Source organism: Homo sapiens, chromosome 5, assembly GCF_000001405.40.
Source record: "Homo sapiens chromosome 5, GRCh38.p14 Primary Assembly".
NCBI lineage: Eukaryota > Metazoa > Chordata > Mammalia > Primates > Hominidae > Homo > Homo sapiens.
In genome coordinates this window covers 136,990,331-137,004,076 of record NC_000005.10, presented here as the reverse complement: position 1 = coordinate 137,004,076, position 13,746 = coordinate 136,990,331, and the positions used below count along the sequence as shown (strand labels likewise).

At 44.0% G+C, this 13,746-nt stretch overlaps 1 protein-coding gene across 1 annotated transcript in view; it reads left to right on the top strand.

Annotated features, from left to right (window-relative positions):
• Positions 1–13,746, top strand: part of SPOCK1 (SPARC (osteonectin), cwcv and kazal like domains proteoglycan 1) — a 524,029-nt gene that overhangs the window by 495,250 nt on the left and 15,033 nt on the right. The window contains exon 7 of the mRNA NM_004598.4: positions 11,477–11,593. Coding sequence (NP_004589.1) covers positions 11,477–11,593 — 117 coding nt within the window. The remainder of the gene's footprint in view (positions 1–11,476; positions 11,594–13,746) is intronic.

The following is a 13,746-nucleotide window of genomic DNA, read 5'->3' as shown; positions in this document are numbered from 1 at the left end:
CCACCCTTCCATCAACCCATATCCCCATGGCACCATCCACTCTAAACCAGGGCAATGGTGGAGTAGTGGGGGGAATTAAAAGGAGCTCATGGTTCTCTGCATTCATTTTAAGTCTATGCCTGATCCTCCCCATGTAATCTGTGAATGAAAGTGTACCAGTGTTCTCCTCCCACTCCCAAATAAAAGAGCCATTCCCAGGTTCTGGACACCTCCTAAGCTTCCTATCACCTTCAGGATCTGATCTCAAATCCCAGGCTTGGTCCTCCACCAATTCTTTGTGGCTTTCTGCTCCATTAAATAACAATTTAAGTTTACCTCATGTTTAAGTGTAAAAACATACATGCATATTTTGATGCTTCTGGGATGGAAAAAATATAGAAATTAAAATTGTTCAATAATACCTAGATTTGGATGTTGAATCTGAGCAGGTCAAACTGGACACAAATTGCTCATTAGAAATAGAGACTTGTACATACCCTAAAAAGACATCTTCTGTCAACAACCTCTTACAGATATAAAAGTTCATATATTGGCCCTGGAACAAGCGGTGCTACCTTTGTCAGAAGTCATCCCTTGAGATGTATATATGCATATATATTATGTAATATAGTGGAATAGATTAAACAGATATGCAGAACAAATATACATATTTATACAACTTATGATTTATTTATTTATGAGACAGAGTCTCATTCTGTCACCCAGGCTGGAGTGCAGTGGTGCCTCCTTGGCTCACTGCAACCTTCACCTCCCAGGTTCAAGTGATTCTCCTGCCTCAGCCTCCTGAGTAGCTGGGATTACAGGCGTGTGCCACCATGCCCGGCTAATTTTTTGTATTTTGAGACAGTTTCACCGTGTTGACCAGGCTAATATGAACTCCTGGCCTCAGGTGATCCACCCTCCTGGGCCTTCTAAAGTGCTGGGACTACAGGCATGAGCCACTGCACCTGGCCCCAACTTATGATTTTATATACATTTATGATTTAGAAATGGTATATATAATTTGAGCAGAGCATTAAAAATAAATCACTTTATTCAAAGTGGGCTCCTCATTATTTCTAAGGCCTGCCTAGAATGTCTCTAAGTCCTCCCTGCGTATGAGCCTCAGTTCAATTCTTGCCTCCTCCAGGAAGCCTTCACTGACTGCTGTTGGCCAGTTGAGCTCATACATTAACAAAAGGCAAAATGACTCTCAGACACTCAGTCTGGCTCTCCACAGTGGGATGGCCCATGAAGGAATTAGGCATTATCACCTAGCCCCTTTCCCAGGACTCTGTCCTTCCCCTTCCCCCATGGCTCTCTCAGTAGTCCAGGTTGAGCCTGTTTTACACCCTCATCTCAGAGCATTTGCCATTGCTGATTTTAGGTGAGAACAGCAGTTGTCATTTCTGCAGCTTAGTCTTTATTAGTTGAGGGCCTAAAAAGTCTGGTTGGCCATGAAATCCTTCAGTAAAACTGCTGGGTATGATGCTGCTAATCGATTTCAAGTCTCCCATGTAGGGAAATGCTGACCCACTGGCTAGGGAGCACAGCTAAAGCCAGACTTGGCATTTTAAACCAATATTTTGCATATCCAATAATTTTTTTTTTTTTTGGCCCCAGAGTGTGAAAGTGGCTGTGGATTTTATCAGAAGCTTTAAAAGCTTATTTCATCTAGCTAACTTCCCTGATCTAGATTATTCAGGGAGAAAAAAAAAATAAGCGTTACTCCACTAATGCACATTTACAGATGTTATTATGCAAGTTCTAAATGTTTCTTTTTCCAGATGAAAGATTATCATTAGAATCAAGGGAAACATTAAAGTCTCCTCAAATCAGCTTACCTAGAATAGTCTTAATGGGTTTAATAGGGAAATTTATCCATCTTTGCTTGTAGATTGTACCATTAATTAGTATAACTCATCTTATTCCAAGTTTAATGTCAGTATTTTAAACTCTTCCAAAGATTGCTTTTTAAAGACTTTATTAGCAAGTTCCTGAATAATGGCACCTAATTCCTTTGCTCATGCCTGTTTTTACATAAAATGACGCATTCTCTAAGGATAAGAGAACACGCATATATATTGATGTTTTAGGCAGTGAAAAGTAAAAGCTGGAATTACATATAATGCAATTTAATTTGAGCAGGCATAACCTGGCTCAAAGATCTCTGTTAGATGATCTCCAATTAGAAAGGCAATTCACCTTGTATATGTTTTTTAAATCCCTTCAGTAAGCTCCTATTGTGTTTTCTATTACAAAACTGCTTATGGCAAGGAGCTTATTATCTATTAGCCTCTCAAGGGTAAGTGCTCCCAGCCCCTGAAGCTCCTTGGAAGAGAAGAAATAGTGGCTGCCTGTCAGTATTTGAAAGCAAAATCCTCACCACAAACATTATTCCCATTTTACAGATGAAAAAGCAGGGGATCAGAGAAGAGCAAGGGCTTGCGTGAAGAGCAACAACTTGTACACTGAGGGTTGTGAGAGCTGGAAGTCTGAGGGAGTGTGGGTCCCAACCTTGCACTCAAGTGCATGGTCTGTATCTTGTGGAGGAGGTATTTTCTTGGGGAGAATGGGGTTGTCATAGATGAGCAGATGAGTGAAACTCTAGTTGAGAGAGCTGGGCTTGAATTCAGTTTTGCCGTTTACCATCCGTAGGACCTGGGAGATATCATCCACCTTCTCTGAAAAGCAATAGAAGAGATTCCTATCTTGCTGGATGGCTTCCTGTGGTCATTTCCTGTGAAAACATCACATGCATGACCTTGATTCCTATACTTTTCTATTTGGTGGATCACCATGCTGCTCTGTGTCCACAAACACAAATCAGATCACAGCCGACAGCTACTGAGTGTGGCCTGGTGCTACCACATGGCAAGCCTGGAGCTGAGTGCTTAAGTGCATTCTATTATAGTTTCATTCTCCTCGTGGTCCTAATACTAGTTCTGTTATCACCTTCATTCTAGAGATGAGGAAACTGAAGATTAAAAAGTAACCTGTCCGTAGTCTCAGCGAGGATGGCACCACTGGGATCTGCGTTCAGCCCTGACTCCAGAGCCTATTTTTTGTTTTTATTTTTTATTTATTTATTTTTTGAGACGGAGTTTCACTCTGTCTTCTAGGCTAGAGTGCAGTGGCGTGATCTCGGCTCACTGGAACCTCAGCCTCCAGAGTAGCTGGGATTACAGGCACATGCCACCAAGCCCAGATAATTTTTGTATTTTTAGTAGAGATGGGGTTTCACCATGTTGGCCAGGTTAGTCTCAAACTCCTGACCTCAGGTGAGTTGGCCTCCCAAAATGCTGGGATTACAGGCATGAGCCACCATGCCCAGCCCAGAGCCTACTTTCTCTCTCCTGTTTTTAAGCTTTTAAGGCAGAATGACTGTGCTAAGCAGAATCAATCTTCACCTGTTTGCATTCAAGTTTATTGGGTTCCACATTCCTAAGGGAATTGTAGACTCACTCCTTCTCCACATTCATGCTCCCATGGCATGTAGCATCCTCTCCTTGGTGTTCCTACACATTTTTCCAGCACTGGGGCACCTTCTGTTTGCTTAGATATTGAATGACAGGAGGGACATGGTCCCTGTTGGTGAGGAGGAGCCTACCATGCTGTACTGGGAGACAGACACTTGCTGCTGAAGGCTTCCAGCAGCCTGAGAATGCCATGATGGAGGGAAGAGACCCAACCCAGGCAAGGCAGTTCAGGAAGGCACCCTTGTGTTTGCTTGAACCCAGACTCTGGAAAGTGTTATTTCATCTCAACTCATCACTGCTCTAAGGAAGGCTCAGCTGGACCTTCTACAGGAGCTACTAATTGCAAACACTCTGAGCACGTTGATCCAGGGCTGCTCTGATTAAGTAATTATTCACAACAGCACCTAGGAGGGCTGAAGGAGATTAGTTTGAAAGAATCAGCATCAGGTCTCCATTTCTGAGAGGCCTCCGAGCTTGCTCCCAAAGAGAACTTGAGTCTCGCCCAACTCCTTAATCACCTTCGGAGGCACTAAAGTTTAAACTAAATTCTGATTGTTTTCATATTTGCTTCTGCTAGAGCCCTGAGATCGCATTGGTGAGGTTTGCCTGAGAGAGGGGGGCTGGTCCTGTGACAGAAGGGGAGGAGTAGGGTAGGGTTATTTTTATCCTTTGGTTCTTTAGCTGAAAGATTTCATGCATTACAAGAATATACCAGTAATTGGTTCCCCAACAGAGGTTTACAGCTATCCTGTGATGCCTGTGTGTCAGATTTGCCATTTTCGGACATCCCCAATTGGGTGTTCAAATGTGGCTTCAGTTAGGATTTCTAACAGAGACACGCTCACTCACACTTGCTCGCCACTTCTTACTCTATTAGATAGTAACACTATAGCTTTGAATAAAGGATTTCTATCCTCTGTCTCCCTTTCCATTTTTTATCTCATCTCCCAAATGTTTTTTATCCCACTGATTGTTTCCTTTTCTTCCCCGTTTTTGTCAAATCCTCAGAAAGGGCTTTTCAGACTGTCATTCAGCCCTTGAAGTCATCAATGAGCTGAGACCAGCGTGGAACACCAGTTATAGCCTTTGGGAGCATTTTTCAAAGACGCTTGGATTTCCTAGCTCCTACCTCTCCACTTTCAAAACCATTACCTGTTTTGAAACTTCCTCACCAGCTCTTCACTAGCCCCTGGTTTTGTCTGAGGGAGGACACAGGGGCCAGGGAGAAGGGGACAATGGGGTCCCGGGGTACAGGCAGAGCCAGACTACTGACACTCATCTAGGTAAGAAGCAACCCTTCTTTCCTCCAAAGACTACTGCCCGGGGAGTCTAACTGCCACATAAGCAAATACTAATAACTTAGAGCTCCCCTTCCCCCTTACAACCCCACCAAGGCTGCGGTAACCCTGGAGCAGCTTCTCTGTCCTACAGTATTGACAACAATGCCTCCTTCTCCCTCCCATCAGCTGCGTTCCTCATGCTGCACTCCAAGCTATGTTTGAACACTGTCTGCATTCAAATCCAGTCTAGCTTAAAGCCCTATAAAGCTCCATGCCTTGGGTGGAGGGGGCAAAGGTGGCCAGGTGGAGAGCGATCACGTTTTCTTCCCAGGGCTATGTACTTTCCATGGAGACTGAACGTGCCTTATTTACACTTGCTCTTTGCATTTTGTTCATATTTTCCAAACAGAAAGGAAAAGTCCACTGGGAGAGCACCAAATTACCTGGGCCCTTCTCTGCCTGAGTGCTGTGCTTTCCTGGGGGAGAGAGCTGTCTTTTTCCACATTTTGGAGTAATGTGCAATGGCACTATACCTTTCTCTAATGAAGCCCCAGTGGCCACACATGTGACACAGGCAGCAGGCTGTTCGCAGTTCTTCCAAAAGACCATTGTTCTCACACCAAAGCTAACAAAGGTGAGAGCCTACTTGCTCTCCCTCCATCCTATATTGCTCAGCTAGCTACCTCACCTGCATCATTGGCAGAGTTTCCTACGCAAGGCAAGGCCTGATATTTTGATTTTTTTCAACCCAGAGTATGGACCAAGTATATTAATTGTTAGGTTAGTATTGGCTGCCCACAAGACCAATATATCCAGGAAGTAAGTCCTGCACGTGGGGATGGCCCAGCAGGATGACAGCCTGATTCAAATCCTGTCTCTTCCACTTAATAGCTGTTTGACATTGGGAGTCTGTGATCTATTGTTCATTCATTTAAAATATACTTAGTGATAAATATATTTTTGAACAACTACTACATAGTACCTTAGAGCAAGTGCTAAGAATACGGGTGTGGGGAAGTCAGACCAATCTCCCAATCCTGGAACTTATCCACAGCAGACAGATATTGCAACCTGTATTTCTTGGACTTCTACTGACCCATGTATAAAATAAGGAGAGATGTTATTCTTTATATCACAAGCATCTCCTCAGGCTTAAAAAACGCACAACAATACAATTCTAACATATTATGCAGACAGTTGGGATATGAGAAGGGGAACATAAATTTATTGAGTTCCTGCTATATGCCAGTAGCTGTGAGCTATGTTTTACTAATATTGTCTCATCTTATTCCATGTAGTGATGCTATGAGCTAAGCTTTATTACACCATTTTGCAGATGGAAAAATTGAAGTTTACAAAAGGCAGTAAAAGGGTGATTCTATTCAGTCAGTAGGTGTGTATTGAGAACTTTCTTCATGCCAGGAACTGACTGGGTTAGATGCTGGGTCCCCAGTGCTGGGCAGAGTCAGGGCATGTTTTATGTTGCTATGATCTAGGGGAGAAATGGGCACTGAACGAGATGGGTGTTATGAATGCTATCAGAGAAACAAGGCATTGGGAGCATAGAAAAGAGAAATCTCAAGTTTGAGGATTAGGGAAGTCCTCTAAGAAAATGTCACTTTAAAGCCAAGATCTGATGGAGGAATTGGCATTAGCAAGGCAGTGGGAAGAGGTGTTTGTTTCCCAATAGAAGAGCATGTCGGAGGGGCAGTAAGGCCAGAGCGTGAAGGTTGAGGAGGAGCAGATACAGAAGAGAGATTTGGTTTTTCAGTGAGTGTGTCCTGCAGGCCATTTAGCTCACATTATGGAGTTTAGACTTAACCTACAGAATAACTGGGAGCCTCTGAAGTGTCTCAAACAGGAGAGTGACTTGATCAAATGTCCGTTTTGGAAATATCACTTTGGCTGCTGGATGGAGAAGGGAACATGGCGGGGGAGGGAGGGGGCAAGATGGGAGACCAATTAGGAGCCTGTTCCAGTTGTCCTGGTGGGAGGTAGTGGTGGCATTGGAGACTAGAATAGAGGCAGTGGAGATAAGAAGCAGTGAACTTTTTCACTGTGAACCAGGACAATTCCCAAGTGTTTGCCCTGAGAATATATGAGTATTTGCTGGTACCATTTTCTGACTATGGGAAGAAGCAGATATGAGGCTGGGGAGTGGATCCCAGAGACGTGGCTCACACACCAGCCCATTGGAGCAGATGGAGATTGTGTAAAAATGATACGTCATAACGTGTAGAAACAGTAGGGTAAATGGGGAAACATCATTGAGAAGTAGTGTGTCTGGAGTTGGTTCTTTCCAGTGGGCTCATGGTCTCACTGACTTCAAGAATGAAGCCGTGGACCTTTGCAGTGAGTGTTACTGCTCTTAAAGATGGCACAGACCCAAAGAGTAAGAGGTAGCAAGATTTATTGTTAAGAGCAAAAGAACGAAGTTTCCACAGTGTGGAAGGGGAACCGAGAGGGTTGCCGCTGCTGGCTGGGGTGGCCAGCTTTTATTCCTTTATTTGTCCCCTCCCATGTTCCATTTCTGTCCTATCAGAGTGTCCTTTTTTCAATCCTCCCTGTGATTGGCTACTTTTAGGATCCTGCCAATTGGTAATTTTACAGTCCTCTTGCTAGCTACAGAGTGCTGATTGGTACATTTTTACAGAGCACTGATTGGTGCATTTTATAATCCTCTTGTAAGACAGAAAAGTTCTCTGAGTCCCCACTCGACCCAGGAAGTCTAGCTGGCTTCACCTCTCAGTAGGATGCTGAGAAGAAAACTGGGAGCACAAGAGCAATGAAAAGCAAGCTGAAACCAGGATGGAGGGCGGGAGGGAATGTAATTGAAAATGGGAGAATTAGAGGGCTAGCTGGCACGTGTCCATCCAGGAGGGTGAGGAGAGCACAAGAAAGCAGGTCTTGGTCTTCGTGATTAATCCAAATCCTCTCCCAAGAAAGCACCGTCTTTTCCTCTGAAGAGTCTGATGCTGGTAGCCCAAGTGCCCTGCTCCTCTCGCCAGGACCCCTCTCCAGAAATTGCCGGGATTGCCACAGGGTAGAATGCCAGAATGGCACCAGAATAGTAGGGGGATATATGACTATATTTTTCACCCCACGAACATTACTTTTCCCTAGGAATGTACTAAGTGTGTGGGATGTATCCTCTGGGTCCCCACTTCTGAAAGCTTCAGTCCCCTGTTCACACCTTTATTGGGGGCGATGATGAGCACCTTAAAAGGCAGGCACTTTTCTCCCATCACCAGCCTGTGTGTTGTGGCTAGAATACCAAATTTGAACAAATAGCCCTCTGCAGGCTGTTGCCTTTGATTATTTCCTTCTTTGGGATGTATCAAGCTCCAGGCAACCTGTGCCTGACTTTCTTCTCATACAGACCATTCGGTTGAAGACCTTGTGAGTGAACAGGGCCCAGTAACTGAGAGCCTCCTCTTTCCATTTCGGGTTTCTGATCTCTCTCGACCCACACCAGTGGCTCCCTGCTAGTGGACTTGTCCCTGAGTGACAGATTCATTCTTTCAGGATTTCAGTGCCTGATCCGATCAGACATCCAAGACTTGTGTACTTTGGGGAGCCTGTGGAAAATCTAGCAGTCTTGTAAAGATACAGATTACCTGCACATCTGTCAGGGTTTAGTTAAACACGACTGACTAATTCATCTTGAAGCATGAGATTTCCTCTGCATGTTGACTTGGCAATTTTCTCTGTTCAGAGAACATTTAGAATAGATGGTGCGCATGGCAATAGAGAAAAAATAGAGGCTATTAGTTTCCCATTTTCAAATGTGAAATTGACTACGGAATGCACAACCTATTTTCCTCAGAAAAACAGGCCACATTCTCTCCTGCTTAGAGCAGGGCAGTGTCAGAAAAGTGAAAACCTAGGGCCCCGAGGTTCTGAGTTGGATCCAATAAGTGTGTTGGGAGGGCCTGCTCCTGAGGATCTGCCTTGGCACCTGGGCTAAGCCAGGATTCTCCACCTTCATAACAACTAAACAACTACCTTCCCTGCTATTTGGGAGCATGGCTTAGCAAGAGATGCTGGTTCCTGGCTTGTGGGGGCTTATCTTCTTTCTCAGCTCATCTTAAACAGTTGAAGGGGAGAAGTACGGGAACAAACTTGGATGGCAGAATATCATGATGATGCTCCAGAAAGTTAGCCCAAAATGATCGCTAACCTGATTCAGTGCTGCCCAGCACGACACCCTGCTGCGGTGGGAAGATTCTGCGTCTGTGCTGTCCAGTGTGGAGGTCACTAGCTGTGTGGGGCTGTTGAATGCAGTGGTGCAACTGAGGAACTATCTATTAGATTTTTTAAATTTTGATTTTTGAGACTGAGTTTCTGCTCTTTTTGCCCAGGCTGGAGTGTACTGGCACAATCTCAGCTCACCGCAACCTCCGCCTCCCAGGTTCAAGCGATTCTCCTGTGTCAGCCTTCCAAGTAGTTGGGATCACAGGCATGCACCACCATGACTGGCTAATTTTGTATTTTGAGCAGAGACAAGTTTTCACCATGTTGGCCAGGCTGGTCTCAACCTTCTGACCTCAGGTGATCCACTGCCTCTCAAAGTGCTGGGATTACAGGCGTGAACCACCGCACCTGGCCTAAATTTTAATTAATGTAAATAGCCATATATGGCTAATTGCAGCTTACTAGATAACACAAGCAACTATTTTATGTGGCTAAAGCCAGTTGTGTGTAGGTGGATTTGTTGTTGGCTTTCTGAATGCTGTGATGCTAGCCCTAATGTTACCTATAAATGTTCAGTTTAAAAATAGCAATAGTAATAATAATCAAAATCATAGGTGGCACATACTAAGTAATTACCATATATCATGTACTTTGCTAAGAACTTTATATACATTGTCTGATTTATACTTATATAACCATATTATCCGAAGTTTTACAGATAAGGAAGCCGAGGTGCTGGAGGCTGACTTGTCTCAGGTCACCCAGCCAGTGAGTGGCAAAGCTGGGATTCATTCCAGCCAGCGCGACTCCTGAGAAGTTATTCTTTGCTCCCTGTCGAGACATTTCTCAGTGTTGTTTCCTGGCTGGTGTTTTAAAATACAGCCAAACCCTGATTATTAAAAGCAAGGCAGTGTTTTAAGGTCATTAAAAACTGGGGTATAAACACTGGACATGCATTCATTCCATGCTTTGCAGAGTGTAGAGTCTGGATCCTACCTGGACAGAAGGCAGCGTCGTAAATGAGAGTCCCCAGGTTGCAGAGACCCAGTCAGGGCCTGGTCACCTCTCCTCTAATATGGAGGGTGGGGAAAGACCTTTTCTGCCTGAGCTCTGGGAAGCTCGGTTCTCCATCAAGCCTTAGGGTGAGAAATGGGCTTGCCTGATAAGCATATGTGGATGATAAAAATGAGGAGAGGATCTGCATGGTATTTTCTTCTGGAGAAGTTTCACCTAGTCTTTTGCAAGGCAGGCCGATGGGGGCTGATCACCTTAATTCAATCAGGTCCTGCGTTGGTTGAAGGCTAGCTTGGAGTTTTGGTGAGGCTGTGTCTACTCCTTTTTCATCACTGTCCCTATGGCTTCCAGTGAAGACCCCAGGGATTCCCCCAGGCTCCCTCTGCACTGGTAGGTTCTGAGCCCTAATCTGTGTCTCTTCAGCACCATGAGATATTCAGAACTTGGCTGTGCCTTGTAACAGCATTTCTGCTTAACTCCTTAGCAGTGTGCTCCTGTAGCTTTAGAATATGGGAGAAGTTACAGATGTGGGGCTCTGTTCTTTGCCCCCTTTTACTCATTGGAATTTTGACTCCTCAGATCTTTCATTTCTGTCTCTCCAGATACTAAAGACCCCAAATGCATTGCTGGGTTCTCTAGGTCTTGGTAGCAGCCTACTGCTTGGACCCTTTGCAGGTTTTCTCAGTACCAAGAATTAGCGTATGCCCTGAGGGAAGAGGGAGGGGCTAGGGAAAGTCAACTCCCTTCTCTGCACCATTTTTATTCCTTTGGGATTTCTTTCCTCAAGTTTTAGCACTCTACAAGACCTTCAAATAGCTTGCACCTACCTACTCACCTGCCCACCCATCCATCTGTCTGGATTTTCTTGTTCTCAGGAGTATCTGTCTGCCCCAGTGATTCTGTCTTACCCTAAGAAATGACTAAATAGTTATAGATGGGCTGAAAGGACTGTTTCATGGAGAAGGCATCCATCTGTTTACAGTGGAAAGTCAAGAATGAGACCACTGGAAGGCTAGCAAAATAGGCCCAATCCCCAAATCCAAACCTTGGGCTAAGACAAAATTAGGAGTCTGCTATTAATAGGATCTTTTGGTGTCCTAGGCAGCCTCTCTCTAAGAGCATTAGCTGTGCCTGGGTGTTAATCTCTTGGCATGAGTTTAGTGGAAAATGTAATCTCCTCTGGCAAAACTGCAAGAGCAAGCTTTATGCGGTTAGCAAAAGTGATCTGTGATTGTCTGTCTTCTGAGGATGCTACACAACGGTGAGACCACTGCAGCTTGCTTTCACAGCACAGAGGCCATCCAAATTCAAGTTCTGAACAAAGGCTGCTTGCCCTGGGGGTCTAGGCTCTCTTTTTGTCCCACTCTTTGTTTGTACTAACAGCATCTTTGGGGTGTTTTCCACGTGAGGTAACAGTTATATCGTGGTTGGATAGAAAGGTTTGCTTTGAACGTGGCTTTGCCAGTAGCCCTGCACACAGAAGGCAGAAAGCCCCCAGCCCCATTGTCTGTTCTGTTTGCTTTTCTCTAGCCTGCACAGACAAGGAGTTGCGGAACCTTGCCTCCCGGCTGAAGGATTGGTTTGGAGCTCTCCACGAGGATGCGAACAGAGTCATCAAGCCCACCAGCTCCAACACAGCCCAAGGCAGTAAGACCATTTTAAATATCACATTTCCTCAATTTATTAGACATTGATTTAGGGTTAGCAATATCATTTGGGGGTGAAAAACACCCATTACATTAAATATATACTTTGACTTTAAATATGTCCCAATCTCAAAAAAAAGTTGGATTAAAAAATGTTTAGTATAGGCATTTTGAAAAAAATATATGATCTCACCATTTTAATGACCGTAAGCATGCTGTGGTACATACTTTAAGGTTTTTTCTGGTGTCATATATGAAACAGCGTGTGTGTGTATAATTACAAAGTTTGGATCATACTTTCCAGACTGTTTTATGATCTTTTACCATGTAGAAATGTGACTATCTTTTCATGTTGTGAATAGTATTCTGCTTTCTGATAGCTACACAGAATCCCAGTTTATGGAGATAACAGTTTACTTAATTTGATCTTTATTTTGGGACATTGAGGTTGTTGCCAATGTTAGGCTAATAGAAGTAACACTGTAGCAAACATCTTTGGTGCTATGTCTTTTTGTACAATAGTCAGACTGCATATTGTCTTCCACAGAAACTCCCAGACAGGTGTCCCCTCTCCCCATCCATAACATGCAGATTGCTCAAGGAGCCTCCCGCCAGCATCAGGTGCTGAGTTGGCAGAGACCATACTCAGTTTTGTCATAAGCTGCAGAGAACACTCAGAGTGGGTCCTCACATTTGCACATCAATGGAGTCTCTTTGATGCCTTTAATTCAAAGGCAGTTAGGTATAGGCTTCTCCACACTGTGGCCAATGAGCACAGAATAGATTACTAAACACAATTATTTGATATATGTAGTTTGGCCACAGCCTTCTCTATGTAGCCATTCTGATATTATTTGGTCAAAATATAAAAACACATCATTTAAAACAGCATTTCACCTGATCCCCTGCTTGTTTGGAATTTCTGAAAGTAATGCTCCTGGATTGAATGCAGTAGGTAAGAAGTTAGTTAGAGTAGCAACTGTTGAGATCCCGAGTTTGACTAGCATCTGGTTTTCAGCCAAAACAAAAATGATCTTCTTAATTTTTAGTTATTTTTGGCTGCTCATAGCCTTCTAGAGATATCAGTGGAGAACATCAATCCAGGGGACAATTATTTTAGTAGTTGGGATCTTTTACCTTAAGAAAAAAATAGCATTTAAGTGTCTCCAAAGTGGTTCTTGGTGGGGTTCTTGGTGGTTGGGTCTGTTGGAAAAGCAAAATAAGATTTTTTTTCCCCTGGATCCTCTAGGAGCAGCCTGACCCTTGGGTTTTCTGAACAACCTATCAACAAAAGCAGATTGATGTGAGGAGAGCAGCTGCTTGCAGCCTCCAGTCTCTGGAGATTTCTCCAGAAGACCTGCCTTTGCCCAAAAGCAAATTGAGTCCCCTAAGAGGCTTTTAGGTTTGATATCCTGAAGCAACTGGAGTGAAGGGAATGTTAAAGCATGATGTTGGTTAGCCCAGAAGGCCAGAGGAGTGAGCGGCATTTGAGTCTAGGAGTTCTGAAGGGGAAGCCCTGGAACCCTGCTTGGTCCCTGCACTCTTGGGGCCAACTAGAAGGGCTGCTCTCCTTTCTCCTGCATGACAGGCAACCACAGATGTCAAGATGCAGGCACTCCTTTTCTAGTAGTGGTAGGGTGGGCTGCGCTTGACTTTTTGACTACTGCCCAACCAGATTGGCACTTCTTTTTGCCGACCAGTCAGCAGTAAACTCCTCTTGCCTTATGCATTAAAATATCGATATCCTATAAAATTGATGTATGTAAAATATTGTTTACAAAAGCATAGAGCTGTGTAGTGCCAAAGTAAATTATCTCTCATTCAGCAGCCCCTGAGGGACAGCATCATCAAAGACTATTGACAATCATGACATTCGATCAAAGAAGGGGCCACGTTATGTCCCGTAGCCTCTCTTCTGGAAAAAAAAAAAGAGGGGGGTGGGTATTTTAAAATGTGTTCTAAGATATTGAATAAATTTAAAAATGGAAAGATTTTATGTTTTAAAGCAATAGAGTTTACAATAGCTAGAAAACGTCTCCCAACATTTTTTTTTTTTTTTAATTGAGCACTATATTCCTGTCATGCCTGAGGCTGCTGAAGGGGACAAGACAGTCTTTTCCCTCAGGGAGCCTATAGTTTGATTAACAAGCATGG